The sequence below is a fragment of the Homo sapiens genome, chromosome 10 (genome assembly GCF_000001405.40).
Source record: "Homo sapiens chromosome 10, GRCh38.p14 Primary Assembly".
NCBI classification, from domain to species: domain Eukaryota; kingdom Metazoa; phylum Chordata; class Mammalia; order Primates; family Hominidae; genus Homo; species Homo sapiens.
In genome coordinates this window covers 110,963,565-110,988,556 of record NC_000010.11, presented here as the reverse complement: position 1 = coordinate 110,988,556, position 24,992 = coordinate 110,963,565, and the positions used below count along the sequence as shown (strand labels likewise).

Below are 24,992 nucleotides of genomic sequence, written 5' to 3'. Positions count from 1 at the left end.
CAGGAATTAGAGAGGTGGCATTACTATAGATTCTACAGATATTAAAATAATAAGAATGTTATGAACAACTTAATGCTTTTAAATGTGATAATTGAAATAAAACAAATATATTCCTTGAAAGACCCATATGACCAAGTTTGCTGAAGAAGAAAGTGATAACCTGAATAGCCCTATATTTATTAAAGTAATTGAAATTGCTTTAAAACAAATTCCCATAAAGAAAAGTCCTGTCCTGGATGGCTTCACTGGTGAATTTTATCAAATATTAAAGGAAGAAATAATGCAATTTCATACAAACTATTCCAAAAATTGAACATACGTAGCCAGCATTACCCTGAAACCAAAAACCAGGTAAAGATAGGTTGTATAACATTACATGTGAATTTATTATTTATTCAAAACAAATACATCTAATATTTAAAACTACCACCAGAATGTAACTTTTTAATTTATTTCTTCTTGGTAAGCAATTTTGGTCTTATTATCCGGGTTTTTATCAAGTTCAGGGAAACATTATAAAATTATATTTTATAACTATCACCACTATTTGGCCTTCTGGAACGTCTAGTCCTATCTGCCATGACTTTTTAACTTTTCACTTCTTTTGTATACATTTCTTTTTGATCTAGATTCTAGGGGACTTTTAATTTATCCTAGAGATCATCACTTTGGTCTCTGGCTGTGTTCATTTGGTTATATGGAATTTTCCATTAAATTTGATTTGGCAAACATATCTCTAAGAATTGTATTTTATTCTTTGTTCCCTTTTTGTATCAGCCTCATCATGTTTTAAACATGCAGTTTAAATATCCTATGTTTTTTTTCTCCTAAGGTCACATCTCCTTGTTCATCTTGGCCATTTCAATAGATTTTAAAGAGAAAAAAAAGCATGAAATAATTGTGCTTGGTCCTTATTATCTTGAACCAGAAATCTGATTCTCTTATTTTATACAGGACATTTAGTAGAATATTTATTTTGGATATTAATAGAATAATTCATTATGTGTTGGAGACAATCTTGCCTTTCAGAGGGACATCTAAACCATAAACCAGTTAACTAGAATATGTAATCTCTTTCCACTACAAATAGTAATACGATAGTGTCATGGGCCAAAAATCAGGGAAACATAGATTCTAACGGCTATTTATTACATCCATGTCTCAGCTTGCTTTTCTGTAAATAATTGTCCTGTATAACCTAAGACAATCTACTCAACCCTGCTAAGAAATTCCCTAACAACTGCTTTGTTTCAAGTAATGGTAGGTAATTCAAATAAATTCTCCCAATAAAAAAATAAATAAATAAAAACATCTTCCAAAACCAAAATCAGAGAGTTAACAACGTAATGACTAAGCACCAGAACAGAAACAAGCTGGGAACCCAGATACAAGCAAAACAATGGAGATAATTCTGTCCTAAGAACACAGCCCTAACTGGAAGATGCAGCTAAAAGGCTAAGTTATTTTTCCAGCAAGAGTCAAAATCTAGGGCCTGCCAAGGGTGGGGACTCTAGTCATCAACCTCAACTGGGACCCTCTAGAGCTGCACCCTACCAGTAAGGGTGAACTGGAAATAAAATAGTCATCCAGTTAGCCTGCAGCAAAACTTTTAATCACTTGGGGGACCACACACATCTCAAGCCTTGAACACGAATTGATTGAAGTGATCCCCTCTCTACTAGGTACCCAACAGAGGCAGACAAAAACTCTTCTGGAGAAAGATAACATCATCACAGGCCTCAAATGATTTAGTAATCATGCCTCTAAAATATTCATGACTGGACCAAGCACGGTGGCTAAGGCCTGTAATCCCAGCAATTTGGGAGGCAGAGGCAGGCAGATCACCTGAGGTCAGGAGTTCAAGACCAGCCTGGCCAACATAGTGAAACCTCATCTCTATTAAAAATAGAAAAAAATTAGCCAGGCGTGGTGGTGGACGCCTGTAGTCCCAGCTACTCAGGAGGCTGAAGCAGGAGAATCGCATGAACCCAGGAGGCGGAGGCTGCAGTGAGCAAAGATCACGCCACTGCACTCCAGCCTGAGAGGCAGAGTGAAACTCTGTCTCAAAAAAAATAAAAATTAAAAAATTAAAATACTAAATATTCATGACTGAAATTATGTAAATTAAGTAGAGATGTAATTTTTCTAAATAAACATTATAGTATCCTTATACCACATTAATAACTAAAAAGGCATCAGAATTTTTAAAATTCACTTTACTGGTATAAATTTATGGGCAATCGGAAAAATAAGACTACATAAACACAAAACATATCACAGCTCAATTCAATTTTTTGCAATTTGGCTAAGTCTATAAAACATATTTTGAACTTCAAGTCATCTCCTTGCTTATCCCCTTAGTATTACAGATAAACAAACTTTAAAGTATATTGGCCATGTTTAAAAAACTAAATAGCAATGGTTTTATTTTTCAGTATGGAATACTTTAGCAAAGAAAGGACCACACCCAGTATAATAACATGCAACTCAGAAATAAGCAGAAATAGAAAAAGCCACCCATTTTGCAATTCAAACTATGACAGAATATATATACATGTAACTCAATATTCTCTCTCTTTTATAATCCCATTGGGCTCATTTCCTAAAACCTATTTTCTTTGCCAAGAAAAGGAAATGAAAAATGATTTTAAAATATTATCTTAAAAGTTTTACAACTTTGGTAATTGTGAATTTTACTCCTGAATTTTCATTACCAAATGGATCAAAAATAGTCCTATTAATATCCAGTTAGCTATTAACAGCTATCAATATCTCCTTTCTCCTCTCATACCTATAGTATCTGGGAGGTCTAGCAGTTCATTGTGCTGCAAGTCAAGGTTGGTTATCTGTGTACAGTTTCCAATCTCCTTTGGAAGGTGTTCAAGTTGATTGTGAGCTACATCCAGCGTAATGAGGTTACATAATTCACCTGTAAATTGACCAACATAAAAATTCAATAAGCATTATTAAAGAACATACTAGATAATACTTCTAAGCAAGAAAATAAATCTATAATTTCTGAACACAAACAACGGGAAACATAACCTTATTAGATAGGCAACTTTTATTTTAAAATTTTAAATCATTTAGTGAACATACTTGCATTGCCAGAAAATAAAAACTTCTTTTTTCTGTATCACAATTGTATTTTCTCAAAAACTAAGTCAACCACAAATCTGAAACCACTACTTCAAGATGACATCTGATAAAATTAAAATGTTGTTTCTGAATGATTACTTTTCCAACCTCTTTAAGTAACCAATTCAGCCACAAATGTTTACATATATTCCAAAATTTGAAGTACTGATTTTGTTAACCAAATTCAGCACAATAATATCAGATACACCTTGAGTTCAGTTTGAGGGTCATAATCTACCTCAAGACATGGAAATAAATGGAAATGGAAAAGTGATTTTAAAATATTATCTTAAAAGTTTTACAACTTTGATAATTGTGAATTTTAATCTTGAATTTTCACTACCAAAATGGATCAAGATAATCTTCTTAATATCCAGTTAGCTATTAATAGCTATCAGTATCTTCTTTTTCCTCTCATGCCTATAGTATCTAGGAGGTCTAGCAGTTCACTGTGTTGCCAAAGTTGGTTATCTGTGTACTGTTTTCAGTCTCCTTTGGAAGGTGTTCAAGTTGATTGTGAGCTACATCCAGCTTTCAAATATGAAATCTCATATATGCTTTCAAATATGCATGTGTTCTGATGTTATATAAATGCATAAATTGACATTTACAAATAAAAACTGCTTCTCAATTTACTAGGACTCTAAAAGAACAGAAAATAAGGTATATTTCTCCCTTTCCATTCTGGTTGAAAGCTCTGTATTGGCAATTTAAATTACTTGCAGTGTTACTGAGCTTTAAAAAACCTTTTCATTTTTAATTGGTCTTGTCAAGATTTTTCTATTTATTATTATTTTTTAAGGCAGAGGTTGGAGATACAGAAAAGCACAAACTACAGAACTCTGAAGAATGGGTGTGGAACACATTTTTAAGCTATACATAATAAAAAAAGAAAAATCGATGTTAGATTTTATCAAAATTTAAAACTTTAGTGCATCAGAGGATACTATGAAGAGTGAAAAGGCAACCTATATAGTGGGAGAAAATATATGCAAATCATATATCTCATAATGGATTAATATCCAAAAATATATAAAGAACTACAATAAAACAAGACCACCACAAAAAACCTCAAAGAAGCCAATTTTAAAATGGGCAATGGACTTCAATAGATATTTCTCTAACGATATACAAGTGGGCAATAAACACATGAAAAGACGCTCAACATCAGTAATCACTAGGGAAATGCAAATCACAACAAGATACCACTTCATACCCACTGGGATGGCTATTATCAAAAAATAGAAAATAACAAGTACTAGTGAGGATGTGGAGAAATCGGAACCTTTGTGCATTGCTGTTGGGAAATGGTACAGTTGCTGTGAAAAACTGTACAGTGGTTCTTCAAAAAATTAAACATAAAATTACCATATAATCCAGCAATTCAACTTCAAGGTATATATCGAAAAGAACTGAAAGCAGGGACACAAACAGGTAATTGTACACCAATGTTCATGGCAGCATTATTTACAATAATCAAAATGTGGAAACAACCCAAGTGTCTATTAACGAATGAATAACCAAAATGTGGTATGTTTATATAACGGAGTATTATACAGACTTGAATACATTTCTGATAGGTGCTAAACATGGATAAACCTGGAAAACATTATAAACCAAGTGAAATAAGCCACACACAAAAAAACAATTTTATGATCCCTCTTATATGAGGTACCTGGAATAGTCAAATTCATAGAGACAGAAAGCAGAACCGTGGTTAGTAGGTGCTGAGGAGAGAGGGGAATGAGGACTTATTGTTCAGCAGGTACAGAGTTTCAGTCTCAGATGACGAAAATGTTCTGGAGATGAATAATGGTAATCGTTGCACAGCAATGTCAATGTGCTTAATGCCAGTGAACTCTACAAGTAAAAATGGCTAAAATGATAAATTATATGTTATGCATATTTTATAATAAAAAAACTTATGGGACATAGCTAAGCTAGTGCTAAGAGGGAAGTTTATAGCACTAAATTTTTACCTTACAAAAGAGGCAGGATCTCAAATCAGTAATCTAAGTCTCCATCTCAAGAAAACAGAAAAAGATAAAAATAAGTCCAAGCAAGCAAAAGGAAGGTAATAAAAATAAGAGTATAAATCAATAAAAATGAAAAAAGGAAGAGAATAATGTAAATATAAGATAGTTTTTTGGTGGAAAAAAATCAATGTTTATAGCCCTCTGCCATGACTTACAAAGATAAAAAAGGGAGAAGGCACATATTTCAAATATTAGCAATAAAAAAAAGGAATACTGATCCTATGGTGTTTAAAAAGATAAAAAGGACATATTACAAAAATCTTTGTAATTAAAATCATAAATTCAAAAACTTATAAGATATAACCTAATTATTTCAAAGCCACAAACTACCAAAACTCAATCAAGATGAAACAGAAAACCTGAATAGTACTACTGCCATTAAATAAATATTTGTAACTAAGAAGTTTTTCAAAAAAGAAATTCTAGGTCCAGATGGCTTCACTGCAGACTTTTACCAAATGCTTAGAAATGAATTAACACCGATTTTATGCAATGTCTTCCAAAAAATAGAGGAAACAATTTCAAACTCATTTTATGAGGTATTACCTTGATATTAAAATCAAAGACAGTACAAAAAAGAAAACTATAAATCAATGTCTCTCATGAGATTTCTATGTCAGGAACTTAAGACACAAAAATTCTCAACAAAATATTAGAAAATTTACAAGAAAAAAACAAACAACCCCATCAAAAAGTGGGCAAAGGACATGAACAGACACTTCTCAAAAGAAGACATTTATGCAGCCAAAAAACACATGAAAAAATGCTCATCATCACTGGCCATCAGAGAAATGCAAATCAAAACCACAATGAGATACCATCTCACACCAGTTAGAATGGCAATCATTAAAAAGTCAGGAAACAACAGGTGCTGGAGAGGATGTGGAAAAATAAGAACACTTTTACACTGTTGGTGGGACTGTAAACTAGTTCAACCATTGTGGAAGTCAGTGTGGCGATTCCTCAGGGATCTAGAACTGGAAATACCATTTGACCCAGCCATCCCGTTACTGGGTATATACCCAAAGGACTATAAATCATGCTGCTATAAAGACACATGCACACGTATGTTTATTGCGGCATTATTCACAATAGCAAAGACTTGGAACCAATCCAAATGTCCAACAATGATAGACTGGATTAAGAAAATGTGGCACATATACACCATGGAATACTATGCAGCCATAAAAAATGATGAGTTCATGTCCTTTGTAGGGACATGGATGAAATTGGAAATCATCATTCTCAGTAAACTATCTCAAGAACAAAAAACCAAACACCGCATATTCTCACTCATAGGTGGGAACTGAACAATGAGATCACATGGACACAGGAAGGGGAACATCACACTCTGGGGACTGTTGTGGGGTGGGGGGAGGGGGGAGGGATAGCATCGGGAGATATACCTAATGCTAGATGACAAGTTAGTGGGTGCAGCGCACCAGCATGGCACATGTATACATATGTAACTAACCTGCACAATGTGCACATGTACCCTAAAACTTAAAAAAATAAATAAATAAATAAATAAATAAATAAGAAAACTGAATTCAACAATATAAAAGGGATTATACATCATGACCGAGAATGATTAGGATTAATTCCAGATATGCAAGGTGGGTTTAATATTTGAAAATCAATCAATGTTATTTACCATATCAACAGTCTAAAGAAGTAAGATCATTTGATGATTCATACAAGGAAAACTTTTAACAAATTCAAAATGCATTCATGTTAAAAACTGTCACCAATTTAGAAACAGTGGGGAATTACCTCAATTTAGTAAAAATCTTCTATAAAAACTTACAGCCGACTTCCAGTTTCCAATCTAACACATAAAAAATTTTGAAGTCATCGTTCCTGTCCTCACAAGAAAAAGGCTGAACAAAGTGAAGATTATCAACTTTTCTTACATCCTTTTGAGATCTAAGGACAAACCTCTGCCCCAGAACTGGAGAGAAATGTGATGCAGAGTCACCAGGAGTAGAAGCCACAGCTGGGAGCTTGGTAGGAACACTTACTGCATTAATTCATTCATTCAGACAAAAAATTATTGATATGTACATTCTCTTTTTCCAGACACAATACTGGGCACTGAAGAAACAGACTACAATATACTAAATGTTTGTATTCATGAAACTTACAATTCGTAAAAAGACTATAATGTGATTTGAGGGAGGCTAGAGAGTCTCTGCTCCAAATAGGTCCTTCACTGCTTGCTTATAAAATTTCACCATTAAAGAGCCATTCTTTTGGATCTTCATGGCCATTCACAAAGTTCTTTATCTTTAAGGTGGTGACCCATTTCACTGACTCATTCATGAAAGAAAAACTTACTGTGCACCTACTAGAGATTCAACAGTGCAGGAAATGAAACAAGTTTCCATCTACATGAAAGATTCAGCAGTGCAGGAAACAAAGCAAGTTTCCATCCACATGAAACTTACACTGTAGTGTGCATGGAGTGGGGAATCATAAAATAAGGAAATAAAGTGTCAGAATGTGATAACTGCTGTAAACAACAACAAGAAAACACATAAGGAAAGGAAGTTGGAACTGACTGTTGGGGGAAGTTGGGGTGAAAAAAAAAAGCATATTTGAACTGAGACCCAGGGGATTGGGAGGGAAAATAAGCAATAAGGAGAGGAGGGGAACAAAGTGAGAAATCTAGGGTCTTAAATATCAACCTAAGGAATCTAGACCATTTTGACCAGATAATAAAGCACAATTTAAAGTTTTGAAGCAAACCATGATAATCAGAGTACTGTTCTAAAAAGTCTGTTTTCTCTAGGTTTGAATGGATGGACTTGAGAAAGACAAATAAAAAACACAGAGCCTAGGTTGAAGCTACTGCAATTAGCCCACGAGAAATAGTGTGAAGGTCTATACTACCTCAATGGCAGTGGAAGTAAGTGAGTGAACAACAGGCCTACTATCAAGAGAGAAGAAAAAGTGACAGGACACTTTGGGAGGCCGAGGTGGGCAGATCACGAGGTCAGGAGATCGAGACCATCCTGGCTAACACGGTGAAACCCCGTCTCTACTAAAAACACAAAAAATTAGCCGGGCATGGTGGTGGGCGCCTGTAGTCCCAGCTACTCGGGAGGCTGAGGCAGGAGAATGGCATGAACCCGGGAGGCGGAGCTTGCAGTGAGCAGAGACTGCGCCACTGCACTCCAGCCTAGGCGACAGAGTGAGACCATCTCAAAAAAAAAAAAAAAAAAGTGACAGGAATGGGGTAGAACAACGCTTTTCAGACTACAGATGGTGAAGGCCTGGTTCTTTGTCTTTTGCTGTTCCCAACTGGTTGTAGATGAATATTTAAAACACAAACTCACACACTTGGATGTCTCAGCAATGTCAAATTGTTATGTAAGATTCTAAATGCTTACTTTCAATTTCTGTTCTTAATTTGGGCAAACTAGTAACAAACAGTTGGTGGCCCAGTACCTGTCTAGTGAGTAGGCTACACCTTGACTAGAATCAGAACAACAACAAAATTCTCTGATCCGAAGATACTGAGCTTGGGTTGATAGAGAAGATAAGATGCAATTATGAGAGAGGAATGGAATCCACAAGGAAGAAAAGTTGAGCTGAAGTTACAGTTTGGTCATGAAGAATTTAAGATATCAGTGAGACATCTACGTAAAATATTTAGTGGCTAACTATGGGGGAAAAAGATGAAGAAAATGTTATCATGGTAGAACATTTTTGTCCTAAGAGAAAGCTGGATTTAACATCTGCAAACACTGAGCTCTGGCTAAGGGTGGTGAAGTCGTGTTGATAATTTAAAACTGTGGATAAAATACTTAAAGGCATACAGGGAGACCAAAGTTAAAACTAGAGGGAATTTACCCTTAAAAGAAGAGAACTGTAATAGGCAGACTTCTAAGATAACCCCCAATGGCCCTGCCTCATGAATAATTGTATACGTTATATAATTACCCCTCCCCTTGAGTGTGGGCTAAACTTAGTGACTTGCTTCTTACCAACAGAATATGGCAAAGGTGATGGGATGTCACATTTGTGATTCAGTTACAAAAGATTCTGACTTCCACCTTGCTAGCACTTTATTGATGTCTTAGCTTACACGCTTTGATAAGGCAAGCTGCCATGTTGAAAAGACCCATGTGAAAAGGAACTAAGAGCAGTCTCCAGCCAACAGCAAGAAATTGAAGCCCTCTCTCCAGCAACCTGCTAGGAACTAAGTCCTAACAAAAACTACATGAGTTGGGATGTGTATCCTTTCCCAGATGAGTCTTCCCAAGCCCTGGCTAACACTATAACTGAAAAACCTTGTGAGAGACACTAAATCAGAAGGTCCAGTTAAGTTGTGCCTGATACCCAAAACAAAGAAACTATAAGATAACAAATGATTGTTGTTATAAGAGTTATCTTTTAGAGTAATTTGTTACACAACAATAGATAACTAATACAGCAATCACATGAGATTTACTTTCATAAATGCCTTTTTATAAAGCTTTTACCATGAAGTAACTAAAAAATCTGCAGGTGAAAAGTAAATCTCAAGTCGAAGGCCAGAGTCCTACTGCCTAAGAAGCCAAAGGACAGAGTTCAGGGTTATAAGAGTGACTGGAATTCAAGGTTGGATACTCTGTAAAGGAGGAAATCACAAAGAGCAGAGCCCTAAAATCTTCAAATACACACTCCTCAAATTCTTGCTGACTCCGAAAATACATGTGGGAGAGGAGACTGCAAGGAGCCCAAGGGGAGAACCACAGCTAGAAGGCTAAAGGAGCTGAGCAGAGATTTCAACAGTTGCCAACTGTGGTCTTTAAGAGTTTGGATTTTCAGTCTTGTCAAGTTGCTGGAGAGTAATAAACAAAATTCCAAAAGGGCTATAACATAGGAGAGTAAAGATCACATCTCAAAACTAAGGAATTTACCCTAGGTTTAAGGCTATAACCAAATAGCATCACCCTTACAAGAGCTAAATCTAAGTCTCTACGGTCAAGGTGACTCAACAGCAATTTAACCGCCTAGCAGAACAAAATGTAACACTTTTCAGAGGATAATGGAATCCACAGGAGTTACAGTATTAGCTATTTATACTAGCCAATCAAGAATTACTAGACTGTCTTCTATTTACCACCATGATGCAACTAGAAAATGAACAAAATGTTTGAGAAAATGGTTTGCAGACTGCAGACAACAGCCATATATGACTGTATTCCCTTGTATCACAGGAAAACAACAGAAGTCCCATGATTGCCCCAGGTTACTGCCTGGAGGCAGGTTCCAGGTCACAGAAAAAGCAGGGAAGGAATATAGAACAAGGGCCAATAGTTATTACTAAGTTAGGGCAAACGATTTTAGTCTAGGAAAGCCAAGATGGTTAGAATTTGGGAGGCAGAACTGGAGACAGAAGAGAGCAGCAAATAGATTTGTGCAATCTGCAAGAAAGTCTTATGCAGTGTTTGCCTAAATTCTTATCTGCATTAGGTACAAACAGACTACCAAAGGCTAGGCAAAGACCTAGCAGCAGCAACCCAAACAATTCCCAGCAGTCACACAAGGTTGTGAATAGTGTGAATTCCTACCAGCCACAAAAAGACCTCATAATATATAGTTTATCAGGGAGTCATCAAAATTTATTACCTTAGTAGTGGGGTTAAATTAGATGTAGACAAAAGGCTACTAAAACTACCATAACAAAGCTTAAAAGCAAGCCACGAAAGGATTAAACTGACTACAGAAAAATTTAACTGTATGCCAGAACAAAGTCCAGCACTATTAAAAGAATACAACAAAATCCAAGACTCAACAATGTGAAAATGTTATGAAGCTCACATCCAATTAAAAATTACTAAACATGCAGGATGGGTACGGTGGCTCACGCCTGTAATCCCAGCACTTTGGGAGGCTGAGGCGGGCGGATCACCTGAGGTTGGGAGTTTGAGACCAGCCTGACCAACATGGAGAAACCCCATCTCTACTAAAAACACAAAATTAGCCGGGTGTGGTGGTGCATGCTTCTAATCTCAGCTACTCGGGAGGCAGGAGAATCGCTTGAACCCAGAAGGCAGAGACTGCGGTGGGCCGAGATCACACCATTGCACTCCAGCCTGGGCAACAAGAGCAAAACTCTGTCTCAAAAAAAAATTACCAGACATGCAAAGAAGCAGGAAAATATGACCCACAACCAGGAGAAAAATCATTCTGTAGCAACAAAAACAAAAATAAAAGAGGAAACTATAAGACAAGGACAGTGAAAAAGCTGTTAAACAATGAGCTCCATATGTTCAAGGTAAAGAAAACTTGAATAAAAATGACACCCAATGGAATGTATAGAGGTGAGAAATAAAATACCTGGTATGAAAACTTCATTGTATAGAACAGTAAGATTTAGACACTGAAGAAGAAATGATATACAGCAACAACAAAAAAATAGCAATAAAATTATCTAAAATATACATGGACACACATGGACAAACAGAGCATCAATGACTTAAAATGTAAAGTCTAATATACATGTAATAAGAGACTCAGATAATAGAAAAAAAATGACCAAGTAAGGGAAAAGTTACAAGAAATAATGGCCAAAATTTTTCTAATTTTGATGAAAACCATAAACCCACAGATCCAAGAGGCTTATAAACTCCAAGATCAGAATAACAGCAGACTTCTTGTCAAAAACTAGGCAAGCTATAAGAAAATGCAGAGGTGTCTCTAAAATACTGAGGGGGGAAAAAAGGAAACTTTCAAACTAGCATTGCTATATTAGGAAAAACAGCTTTCAAAAACGAAGGCAGCAAGGTGTAGTGGCTCATACCCTTAATCCCAACATTCTGGGAGGCTGAGGTGGATGGATTGCTTGAGCCCAGGAGTTTAAAGACCACTCTGGGCAATATGGTAAGACCCTGCCTCTACAAAAGATACAAAAACTAGCTGGGTGTGGTGCACACACCTGTAGTCCCAGCGACTCGGGAGGCTGAGGAGGAAGGATCACTAGAGCCCAGGAGGTCGAGGCTGCAGTGAGCCATAATCACACCACTGCACTCAAGCCTGGGTAACAGAGTGAGATCCTGCCTCAAAAAAAAAAAAAGGCAAAATAAAGATTTTAAAATAAACAAAGCTGAGTGAATTCATTTTGAGCAGACCTGTACTACAATATGTTAACGGACGTTCTTTGGGCAAAAGAAAATGATTTGAGGCTGGGTGTGGTAGCTCACGCCTGTAATCCCAACACTTTGAGAGGCCGAGGCAGGCGGATCACCTGAGGACAGAATTTGAGACCAGCCTGGCTAACATGGTGAAACCCCGTCTCTACTAAAAATACAAAAATTAGCCGGGTATGGTAGTGTACACCTGTAATTCCAGCTACTTGGGAGGCTGAAGCAGGAGAATCACTTGAACCCGTGAGGCAGAGGTTGCAATGAGCCAAGACTGCGCCATTGCACTCCAGCCTTGGCAACAAGAGCAAAACTCCATCTCACAAAAAAAAAAGAAGAAGAGAAGATCCAGCAACGAGTGCTAAAATTAGTGAGCAAAAGATTAGGGAAAAACAAGGTATCTGCATAGTCTAAAAACATCTCCCAAGATAAATTAAAAAGAAAAAAATATTAACTTTAAAGTGGAGAAGCACAGCAGAAGCTGTGGAGAAGCTGTGGAGAAGCATTAACCAACTGGTCGAGGTCAAAATCACCAGTAATGAGACTTATCAATATGAATTGATATAATTCACTGGAAAAGGCAACACAATCACCACTGTGGCATCCTTGACAAAAAAACCAAACTCAAACTAGTCGTGAAAAAAAAATTAAACAAAGGAAAAATGAGTGATATGCTATAAAACATTTGAAGAGTACTCTGCAAAAGTATCAAAGCCATGAAAGAAAAGGAAAGCCTTTCAGTCTTTGCTTTCAGACTGTCAAAGATCAGAGGATACTATGGACACATGACTATTAAAAATGTAACATAGGCCGGGCGCAGTGGCTCACGCCTGTAATCCCAGCACTTTGGGAGGCCGAGGCAGGCAGATCACGAGGTCAGGAGATCGAGACACGGTGAAACCCCGTCTTTACTAAAAACACAAAAAATTAGCCGGGCGTGGTCACAGGCACCTGTAGTCCCAGCTACTGGGGAGACTGAGGCAGGAGAATGGCGTGAACCCAGAAGGCGGAGCTTGCAGTGAGCCAAGACTGCGCCACTGCACTCCAGCCTGGGCGACAGAGCGAGACTCCATCTCAAAAAAAAAAAAAAAGTAACATGGGATTCTAGAACAGAAAATGGACGTTAGTGGAAAAACTGATGAAATTAACTAAAATTTGTAGTTTAGTTTATTGTATTGTATCACTGTTAATTTCTTGGTTCTGATCACTATACAATGGTTATATAGGATGTTAATTAATATCAAGAAGCTGAGTGAAGGGTATATGGAAATCTTCCAAAATGGTTTTGAAACTTTTCTGTATGTCTAGAATTTGTTCAAAATAAAAAATTTTGAAAAATTGTTTAAAAACATAATTTAAACCTTAAAGCAAAATAGTATCAATGTATTATTATGGGACTTATGATAATGTGAAGAAGTAAAATGTATTGACAATAATTGTACGAAGAATGGAAGGAGGGAAATAAAGGTGTTCTGTTGTGAAGTTCTTAGGATATATGCAAAATAATACAATATTATTTCAAAGTAAAATGTGTCAAGTTCTGATAATGTATTGTAAACACTAGAGGAAACACTAAAAAAAACGCCACAAAGATGTGTAACTAATATGCCAAAAGTTGAGATAAATGAAACTTTTATTTAAAAAATACTTAATCCATAAGAAAAGAGAGGAAGGGAAAAAAGGAACAAGTGGCTGTCAGGCAGGATAGAAACACAAGACCTAACTATATGCTGTTTACAAAACCCATTTTAAAAAGATAGAAAAAGGTATACAATGCAAGCACTGTATGACACTGTTGAATGTAAAACATTATCAACCACCTTGACCTTGCTGATATTTTTACAATCCTCCAAAAAACAACAGAATATAGTCTTTTCAACTGCATTTAGAACACTTATCAAGACAAGCCCTATTTTATAAATCAAAGCAAAAAAAAAATCTGAAAATCTCTCTCATATATTTGGAAACTGAACAATTAACTTCTTAATAATCCATGGATCAGAGAAGATATAAAAAGGGATATTTAGAAAATATTTTGAATAATGAAAAGATAACCTGCCAAAATTTGTGTGCTGCTAAAAAAGTACTTTGAGGGAAATTTCTAGCTATGAAATAGTTATATAATGAAAGAATAAAGGCCTGAAATCAATCTAATTGACCAACTTAAGAAAACAAAGAAAAGCGTATTAAACCCAAAGTAATAAGGAATTTGAAAATAAAGACCAGAAACAAAGAAAACACACAAACAAAAGAATTTTTAAAAGATCAGTAAAATTGATACACATCAAGCCAAACTGATAAGCAAAGAGAGAAGGCCCAAATTACCAATTTCAAGAATGAAAGGGGAACACCACTATATATATATATAGTGTATATATATATATGGAACATTAAAAGCATAATAAAAATGTGAACTTTAAGCCAACAAAATCAACAAACTGTACAAAATAGACAAACGCCCTGACAGATCAAACTACAAAATTTCAATAGAGAACAAATAGAAAACCTGAATAACTATGTGTCTATTAAATAAACTGAATTCGAAATTCAAAACTTGTCCATACACACAAAAAAAACCCTAGTCCCAGACTGTATGGCTGATAAATTCTACCGAACATTTAAGGAGGAAATAATACTAATTCTGCACAAACCCTTCTAGAATATAAAAGAGGAAGAAACATGTCTCAACTCATTCTATGATATGAGGACAGTATTACCCTGATACCAAACCATGATCAAAATTTTTAAAAAAGAAAATAAAATTACAGATCAATATCTATGATGAATACAGACAAAAAAAATCCTTAACAAAATTTTAGTAAATTAAATCCAGAAATATATAAAAAGGCCCTTTGAAAATGTACCTAGTAGGCAATCAAAGATTGGTAAATGAGTAATTTAGGTTTGTTTCACGGTTATAAACTTTCCTTTACTCTTATTTGACTCACATTTAGGATTCTTATATTCTAAAATAACTCTTGTTCTTTATAGGGATATTTTTCAAATATTCAGAGTTCAGCTCTATAAAAATCAGAGCAAATCTTATTAAAATACATTCGTAAAACTATATAATTAAAAAGAGTTGGAAACACTTGTCCCACAAGTTTGAACAGATTTAGAGAGGTCAGAATTTATACCAGAACATTATTTATACTTGTCTTAAAAGCTTAATTATTCCTTTTCATTGCAAAGACGACTTCAGGGGCTCTTCTAAGCAAGTTTTCTGCAACTAAGGGACATGGACAAGTGACAATGCTCCTCTGATTTTGTAACATGCTGTCTTTACGGTACAATGTCTGCCTCCCTCTCTTTCCCATACCTCAGCCACATGGAAAGTAAACTGTCTCCTTTGATCCTATCAAGTCCTTCTAAAACAGTTCAAGTACTATTTTTCTGTGTTCCATTTTTTTTTCTCCTGAGACAGGGTCTCTGCCACCCAGGCTGGACTACAGTGGCGAGATCACAGCTCACTGCAGCCTCAACCTACCGGACTCAGGTGACTCTCCCACCTCAACCTCATGAGTAGCTGGGACTGTGGGTGTGTGCCAGCATGCCCAGCTAATTTTTTGTAGAGACGGGGTTTTGCCATGTTGCCCAGGCTGGTTTCAAACTCCTGGGCTCAAGTAATCCACCTGCCTTGGCCTCCCAAAGTGCTATTCTGTGTTGTTGTTTTTTTGCCTCCTTTAGCAATAATAACTTCTCTGGGTTTTTGTTGTTTAGTGAAAATCACAATTTCCTAACAGTAATAAGTAAAGAGTTCATTTGTAGGTTTCTAATGTTTCTTGCTGGTTCCCAGTCAAAAGAAGTTATTTATTAACAACTATGAATTCCCTTTACTGATTTATCATTCCTGCTAAAGTAAGTTACTTAGCATTTGTACAAACATTCAAATGAGATTATTAAATAATGTTACCTGGACCATATAAGCAATTGTATCACTCCTGGCAGTCCTGAGAGAATTTCAAGAATTTTAGTGATCACAAGTTACAATTTTAGTTAATACTGAAAATATTACTGAAATATTATAATGCTGTACTAAAATAAAGTATATAATACTAAAATCTTGAAAATACTATACTTTTTATATATTATAAAGTTATAGTAATAATACCATAATACTATAATACTAAAATATAAAATAAAAATAGGTTAATAGTACTGAGCTTTATTAAATTTCCTTCAAGCCACATTTATTGAAAGCCTACCACTTAATGTCTAAAAAATTCACAGAAAAATTACATAATAGGAGTTAAATTAAATCTCTTAAGGTCAACTTTTTGAAAAAGTTGCTGACTCTGTTCAATATGCTTTTATATATAGATATTAATTATATACACATGTATGTGTCAGTTATATGTACATCATTTGACTTATAATCAAATATAACACCTCCATATTGCACAATAGTAAGAAACTGATTTTGCTTTCAATAAATGTTGATGAGTCAAATAGGTAATTTTTAAAATGCTGATTCTTAAATGTAAATTTAAGGAGGTGAAAAAGCTCTATGATGAAAACTGTAAAACAATGAAAGAAATTCAAAGGGACCAAAAAATGGAAAGACATTCCATGCTCATGAATTAAAAGGATTAATATTGTTACAATATCCATACTACCCAAAGTGATCTACAGATTCAATGCAATCTCTATCAAAATGCCAATGACATTCTTAAAAGAAAAAAAAATCCTAAAGTTCATGTGGAACCATAGAAGACTCTAAATAGCCAAAGCAATACTGGGCAAAAAGGACAAAATTGGAGGCATCACACTACCTGACCTCAAAGTATACACAAAGTTAGAGTAACCAAAATGCACAGTACTGGCATAAAAACAAGACAATAGATCAATTGAATAGAGTAGAGAACCCAGAAATAAATCCACATATTTACAGCCAACTGATACTTGATAAAGGAGCCAACAATATACATTGAAGAAAGGACAGACCCTTCAAGAAATGGTACTGAGAAAGCTGGATATATATATATGCAGAAGAATGAAACTAGACCCCTATCTCTCACTATATACAAAAAACTAACTCAGAATGAATTGAAGACTTAAATGTCAAGAACCAAAAATATAAAACTACTACAAGAAACATAGGGGAAACACTTCAGGACAATGGTCTGGGCAAAGATTTTATGGGTAAAACCTCAAAAGTAGGGCAAACCCAAGCAAAAATAGACAAATGGAATTATTTCAAACTAAAAACTTCTGCAGAGCAAAGGAAACAAAGACTGAAGAGACAACCTGCAGAATGAAAGAAAATATATGCAAACTACTCATCTGACAATAGATTAATATACAAGAACTCAACAGCAAAACAATAATCATCATTATGTGATTTAAAAATGGGCAAACAATCTAAGTATACATTTCTCAAGACATACAAATGGCCAAAAGGTATACGAAAAAATGCTCAACATCACTAATCATCAGGGGAATGAAAATCGAAAGTACAATGAGAAGGTATCTCAACCCTATTGGAATGGCTATCATCAAAATGACAAAAAAAAAAAAAAACATCATCACAACAACAACAACAAAAACAGATAGATACTGGTGAGAATGCAGAAAAAGAAGAACTCTCATACACTGTTGGTGGGTGTACCATAAATTGGTACAGCCACTATGGAAAACAGTATGAAGGTTACTCAAAACACTAAACAAAAACCTACCACATGACCAAATAATCTGACTACTGGGTATATATCCAAAGGAAAGGAAATCAGCATATCAAAGAGATACCTTCACTCTCTTATTTATTACAACACTATTCACAATAGTCAAGATATGGAATCAACCTCTAACAACAGATGAAGAAAGAAAATGTGGTATATATACACAATGAAATGCTATTCGGCCAAAAAAAGAATAAAATTCTGTCATTCACAGCAACATGAATGAGCCTGAAGGACATTATGTTAAGTGAAATGAGCCAGGCACAGAAATATAAATACTGCATGTTCTCTCATGCTAAAAAAGTTGATCTCAAAGAAGTAGCGAGTAGAATAGTGGTTACTAGAGGCTGAGAAGGGTGGCGGGGGTTGGGGAGCAGCGGGATGGGGAGAGGTTGGTTAATGGACACAAAACTACAGCTAGATAGGAGGAATTCTATCTGTTCTAAATTCTACTGTTCTGTAACACTGTTGGGTGACTTTAGCAAACAATTTATTGTATATTTTCAAATAGCTAGTAGGGAGGATTTTGAATGTGTCCAGTGAAAAGCAATGATAAATGTTTGAGGTGACGGATGTGCTAATTACCATGATTTCATTATCACACATTGTATACATGTATGGAAACATCACATTGTAAACCACAAATAGGTACAATTATTATTTCTCATTATTATTTCTCATACATATGAATGATGTGAGAATTGCTTTGTAAATGAAGAAAATGATATGGGTTCTCAAAAAGCATATACTTTAATATATTAGATAATTTTCCTAAGCAAAAAAGGTTATTTTGACAACTAGACCCACATGAAATTATATACTACATAAATATGTAGCATTTTATTGAACCTACAATGTAGGTAAAACACATTTTTAAAAATACTCCAACTTCTGTTTTTATAAAGAAGAATAAATAAGGGAAACTTTAAAGAAAGAGAAGAAATCCTAAACCCACAATTCAGAGAGAAAAGAAATCACAGGAATATTAGCAAAATACAAAATGAAGTTTATACCTGGTTTCAATGAGCAACGATTTCCTTCCCAGAAAAATAAAATCCTTTAAAACTTCACTGTCTAGAGTTGCCTGAATAAATAGATTCGTTATACAAACTGTCTATCTGGTGGCCCCTGCTCTAATCCACTCATAAACAGAGAATATACAAAAGCACATCTTTTACAAGAAACTCAAAGGAACCAATCAGTTGGGAAAGGAGGTAAAAAAGTGCTTATTTCCTGTTTTCCCTCTGAAAACATGGGTTCTTGACTGTCTTTGTATAGAGTGAAGAGTCTTTTTCAAGATTAGAAATGGAGAAAGAAGGAATGACAGGAAGAATGGAACACTGATCTATAAAAGAAAGCAATGACTAAGGTTTCAATTTGTCTACTTAACCCAAAAAGAAGGGACACTTACTTTATTTGTCTATGCCTTAACATACAAAAGGAGAAAAGTAAATGAACATTACTAAATGAAAAGTTTTCTTAGCTACTTTCTGATAGATCTCTGGCTCTGAACAGTCTGTTCCAGTATCTTTTTATTGTTTTCTGCCAATCTTTACCCATGTGAATATGTATCACTGGTATCAAATCACATTACATTAATAAAAATGTCATTAATGCTTAAAAGGATAAATGTTCTAATATTTTTTTCCTATCAAGGCAACAGCATAGCCCAACCTTGTGTCGTGGTTAAATTCCAATTATATTATTTAAACTAAATAGTAGGCTCTATTTCGAAAACTCCTAATTTTAAAAAAATTATTTTTATTTTTTAGAGATAGGGTCTAGCTCTGTTGCACAGGCTGAAGTCCGGTGGCGCAATCATAGCTGACTGCCCAGCCAACTCCTGGGCTCAAGGATCCTCCTGCCTCAGTCTTCCCAGTAGTTGAGATTTGAGGTGTGAGTCACAGTGCCCAGCTAAAAACTTATATTCCTCAAATATACTGCTGAATAAAAACTGGATGGCATGATTTAAAGTGATATATTTATTCAAACAAGAAGAATAAGCATCTAATATAATATAAATTTAATATATATTTATAAATAATGTAGCTCTAATATGCATAAATGAAAGTTTAACAAAATTATAATTAGCATATATTTTGAATTAAAAATTCCCTGTTATGGGTTTCTGCAGTAAGTCAAATTACATTAAAGGTGTTTAACACTTTAAAAAATGTCAAATTTCCATTTTACTTGATCATTGAGCACAGGTCTTATTTTATAAACATTCTCCAAGGAGCTCAGAACTTCTTTTAAATTAAAAACCCATTAAAGCAAGATCTACATCACAGAAAATAACTATTTCTGTCTTTCCGTTACAATAAAAGATAGCTCTCAAGAATTAAAAACAAATATATAGTGATCAGGGAACTGCAAAACAAAACTACAATGAGATACCAATTCACACGATAGAATGGTTATAATAAGAAAAGACGGATAATAACAAGGTTACTGAGGATGCAGAGAAATTGGAACCCTCAAACACTGCTGGTAGGAATGTAAAATATTGCAGTCCCTTTGGAAAACAGTCTAGTAATCCCTCAAAAAGGTTAAACATAGAGTTACCATATGACTCAACAATTCTACTAGGTATATACTCAAGAGAAGTGAAAACAAATGTCCACACAAAAACTTGTACACAAATACAGAAACTATACTCATAACAGTCAGAAAGCAAAAACAACCCAAATGTCTGACAACTGATAAATGCATAAATAAAATGTGGTATACTCATATAATGAAATATTATTCAGCAATAAAAAGGAATGAAGTACTGATACATGCTACAACCTTGATGAGACTTGAAAATATTATGCAAATTAAAAGAAACCTGTCGTAAGAGACCACATATTATATGATTCTATTTATAGGAAACATCCAGAAAACACTAATCTATAGAGACAGAAAGTAGATTAGTGTTTGCCTAGGGTTAATGAGTTAGGAGAAATTAGGAGTGATTGCTTAAGGGTTCAGAGTTTCTTTTGGAGGTATTGAAAATGTTCTAACATTATCTCTGATGGTTACATAAATCTGAATATTCTAAAAACCACTGAATTGTTTATTTTTAATGTGTATATTGTATGGTATGTGAATTATATTATAATTAAACTGTTAAACCCAATCCTCCCCCGCAATCTTGTGCAATGGCTTTCAACTGCAGTTGCACATAAACTAACACAGGCTGCTCTTTAAAAGTACAGACCCTGGACCTACCAGAGAATCAAAATCTATGGGGGGTGGTACCCATTTTTCTAGATTGTGGGGAGACTACAGTGGAAACGACCAAGACTTACATTTCAAATTCTGACTCTGCCAACCTAGAAGCATGATCTTCAGTAAATTACCTAATTTTTCTACAGTGTCAGTTCCTTCTTCAGTAGCATGGGGAAAATACCTATTTCATTGGGTTACTGTAAGGATATAAGATAGTATAATTAAAGTATACACGGACAGAACAATGTATAGTATTATGATTCATGGGCTCAAACAACAGCCATCCTTATTATTATGATGTTATTTTTACTAACCTTTATTTTCTTGTTCCCTATAAAGAAACAGATGACCCAGACTTCTGCATGTTTGCCCCAGATCCATGTATCTAAGTTAAACTTTATAAATCATAATTCCTTATGAAAAACATTATACTTTTAAAAGCAGTTTACTTTCTGATGCCCTGCTTAGAATGAAATAAGCAACATTTATGATATTACCATTTTTACAGAAGTACAGCAATTACAAAAACACAAACTTCAGTAATGTCACTAATGATGGGAAGGAGCCCATTAACAAATTCAATGGCTGTTTTTAAAATTACAATTTAGGAATAAAGGTCAAAAGATTAGGTAGCCACAAATATAAGCCACATAATTACTTAAAATATGCCAATTTTAAAAGATACATTCACTTTTTAGTAAAAATGCTATCTATATGCTCAAGAACATATATGTATATTCTTAATTCCTAGGTAATTTGATAGCATTGCTATGGAAAAAGTCCTTAGAGACTTGTGAATTAAAGCTAGACTTTTAGGACTGAGTGTAACACATACACAAAACAACAAGAACAAAGACAGGAAGTAACTTTTATATTTCTATGTAGAAATTCAGCATTTATTTCTCCAATTGCCTATAATTCTATTCCACAATGAGCCATAACATGCAGGTCAAATTTTGACTAAATATGACACTAAAACAAGTCATTCAACAACCACATTCCTATCTGAAGACATGGAATGGAACATTTTCACCCAGAAATTCCTGGGAATATTTTAATATCTCGTGAGTAAGTCATACTCTACAGTATATTACTTGAGAAAACCTATCATAAATTTTCTAAACACATTAAATTAAACCAAAATTTAATTAATATTTGGATTGTCTAGTTAAGAGTTAAATGTAACAAGTCATACCTAAAATTTAAACCACATCTTTTTTCAAAGCTAAACAAAATATTAAAACACCCACAGAATATCATATCTTTGAAAAGCTGCAAAACCTAAAAATCAGAAAGTTTATCACTCATTATAAGACCAATGCTGAAAGCAACAAAAATATAATCTTTATTTTTCTCAGAATAAATTGCCTTTAATACAAAAAGAAAACATCCTTTAAAAAGCTTCATAATCAACTTCTTATGACAATTTTTACAAATCTTATAAAAAGGGCCCACAGAGGCAATACCTTTATCAATTTTTCAAAACTGATGTCAATGGATTACTATATTCCAAATGTTTCAGAATGTTTTTCCATAATTAAAAATGCCAGAACTAATTTTTAATTTTTTACTGACATGTTCACGCGTTTATATTCCCTATTTTTTTCTCCTACTACCAGCCTTTAAAAAACATTTTCTTTGTTTTAGTACAAGTTAGCTTTATGTGAAAGACTGGAATGAAAATTAGCAAAATGGTAACAGTGCTGCATTCACTACAGGTGACGTTTCTTCTACCCTTCTAAATTCTTGTGTTATTTTTAATAAACATGTAAGTACTTTCAAGATGCAAAAAAAAATTTTTTTTCTATTTCTTATGACACTGCTCTTTTGTAAGGCTCTGATTTGTCAACCTTTTGTGGTAAATTAGGTAGAAAGTGATGTGAATTTAAACATCTTTCAGATAAAGGTGGAAAAGTCAGAGAATGAGAAAATGTAGTTTTCATATATCTAATAAAATTGTATCAACAGATACTTTAAACACAGCAACAACTTGAAAATTAGGCAAACATCTTTTCTTCTTTAAATTTACTTATTCTCCAATGAAAGTTAAAGATTAGGTTTGTGTGGGAAAGATCTAATTACATCTATTTTCTAACTCACTTTTTAAGTCTATGAAACAATTTCAAGCCATGTACTATTAACAGTGCTGAAAATGGAATAAAGTAAACCATAAAAAAGTTGTAATTTAGAAATAAGCTGTTTTTAGGCAAGTATCAGGCATTTTTTGATATGAGAAAGCACTCAAAATTATTTAGCATAACAAATACTACAAATAATAATAATCCAAGGCCTCTTACCAATTTCAGCAGGTAGTTGTTTAATTTTGTTCTCTCGAATGCTAAGCATGCTGAGTTTTGACAAGTTTTTGATGTCCTTTTCCACAGTAGTTATACGATTAAAGCGAAGGTAAAGAGTGGTGAGAGAATCCAGCCTATACACCACTGAAGGAATTTCTCTCAGTTTATTATGCCGTAAATCAAGCATCCGCAGCTTCTTCAAGTTATCAAGAGAGTCAGGCAAACTGGTAAGTGAATTTTCACTTAGAGCCAGTGTCATGAGATTTACTAAACATCCCACCTCTGCTGGGAGGGACTGCAATTTGTTACTGTATAAATAAAGTTCTGTTAATTGAGTCAACTCTTTGATTGATGATGGCAATATGTGTATAGATCTCTTGGATAAGTCCAAACGCATTGAATTCTCTTCCCGGCATTTGTTGAGCTCTTTAATCACCTCTGCATTGCTGGATTTTTTTCTAGTCCCAGGTGCTGGGTTTGGCCGTTTGATCGTATTGTCAACTGAAAATGCCACCCCTGGTTGGGCAGCACTGGAGTCCTTCTTTCCATCTTTGGCATCTTTCCCTTTGGTCTTAGGTTCTTTTTCTTTGCTCTCTTTCCCAAAACCTCCAGAGGCTTTTGCCTCCTTTTCTCTTTCCTTGGCTGATGGTACTTTGGGATCTTTTTCTTTAGAGTCTTTTTCTTTTCCTAAACTACTACTCATGGTGACTCAAGCCTGGACAAAAACTACATGAACTCCTTTTATTTTCCAGTAATTGAATTCAAAGATGAAGAGACAAAGATCCTACACAATCAAAAAAGTACTGGCTTGAAGAAGTAATCAGCATGGAGTAACATCCATCTGTTACATGTTGGATCTAAAAGCACTATGCCCATTTCTGATCATTCATTCCAACTGGTAAAATAGTGCTGGTCAATCAATGATTCATTAGAGTTCCTGAAATATAATATAGACAGTATTAAATTACTTTAGATAATTTATATTAAATAGGCTCTGAAAAACAATCTTATTAGAGTTTGCCATTTTCCTATGATTTCATTCTCAAATATTTATGAACATCCTTTATAGGTAAAAATCCATTTAAAACTACACAGCTTAATAAGGCTGGCTCTACCTTCAAGAAACTTGCAATCTAATAGGAAGATGTATGAATGTAAGTTACTTTACTAGAAAATTTTATAAGACCTAAAAAGTGGAAGAAACCACAACAATAAGCTTAATATTTATTAAGTGCTTTCTATGTACTAGCATTATTCTGAGGAATTCACATGTATTAATATAACACATACAACAGCCCTATGAGATACATTGTTATCCCCATTTTATACAAAGAAACACTAAAGCACAGAAATATTTTTAAGTAACTAACTCTGAGATCTTGGAAACATGATGGAGCCAATATTCCAAATTAGGTAGTATGTGCTCACAGCCTATGTTCCTAACCCACTACACTAAAACAGTTCTAGCTACAATTAATTGGCGGATAGCTTTAGATA

At 34.5% G+C, this 24,992-nt stretch overlaps 1 protein-coding gene across 13 annotated transcripts in view; it reads right to left on the bottom strand.

The window, feature by feature from the left end:
* The window catches only part of SHOC2 (SHOC2 leucine rich repeat scaffold protein), a 94,296-nt gene that overhangs the window by 25,109 nt on the left and 44,195 nt on the right, over positions 1-24,992 (bottom strand). For 7 of the 13 annotated variants that reach the window (NR_199808.1, NM_001324336.2, NM_001441185.1 and 4 more), the window contains 2 exons: positions 23,496-24,432; positions 2,792-2,929 (listed from right to left, as the gene is read on the bottom strand). The exons of 1 other annotated variant lie outside the window; for it this stretch is intronic. Coding sequence is in view for 9 of the 12 variants with exons in the window: in NM_001324336.2 (NP_001311265.1) it covers positions 2,792-2,929; positions 23,496-24,198 (841 nt within the window). In the remaining 3 variants the exon portion in view is untranslated. Of the gene's footprint in view, positions 1-2,791; positions 2,930-21,278; positions 21,396-23,495; positions 24,433-24,992 lie in introns of all 13 variants that reach the window. 5 more of the 13 variants (NM_001441186.1, NM_001269039.3, NM_001441190.1 and 2 more) reach the window with 3 other exon arrangements.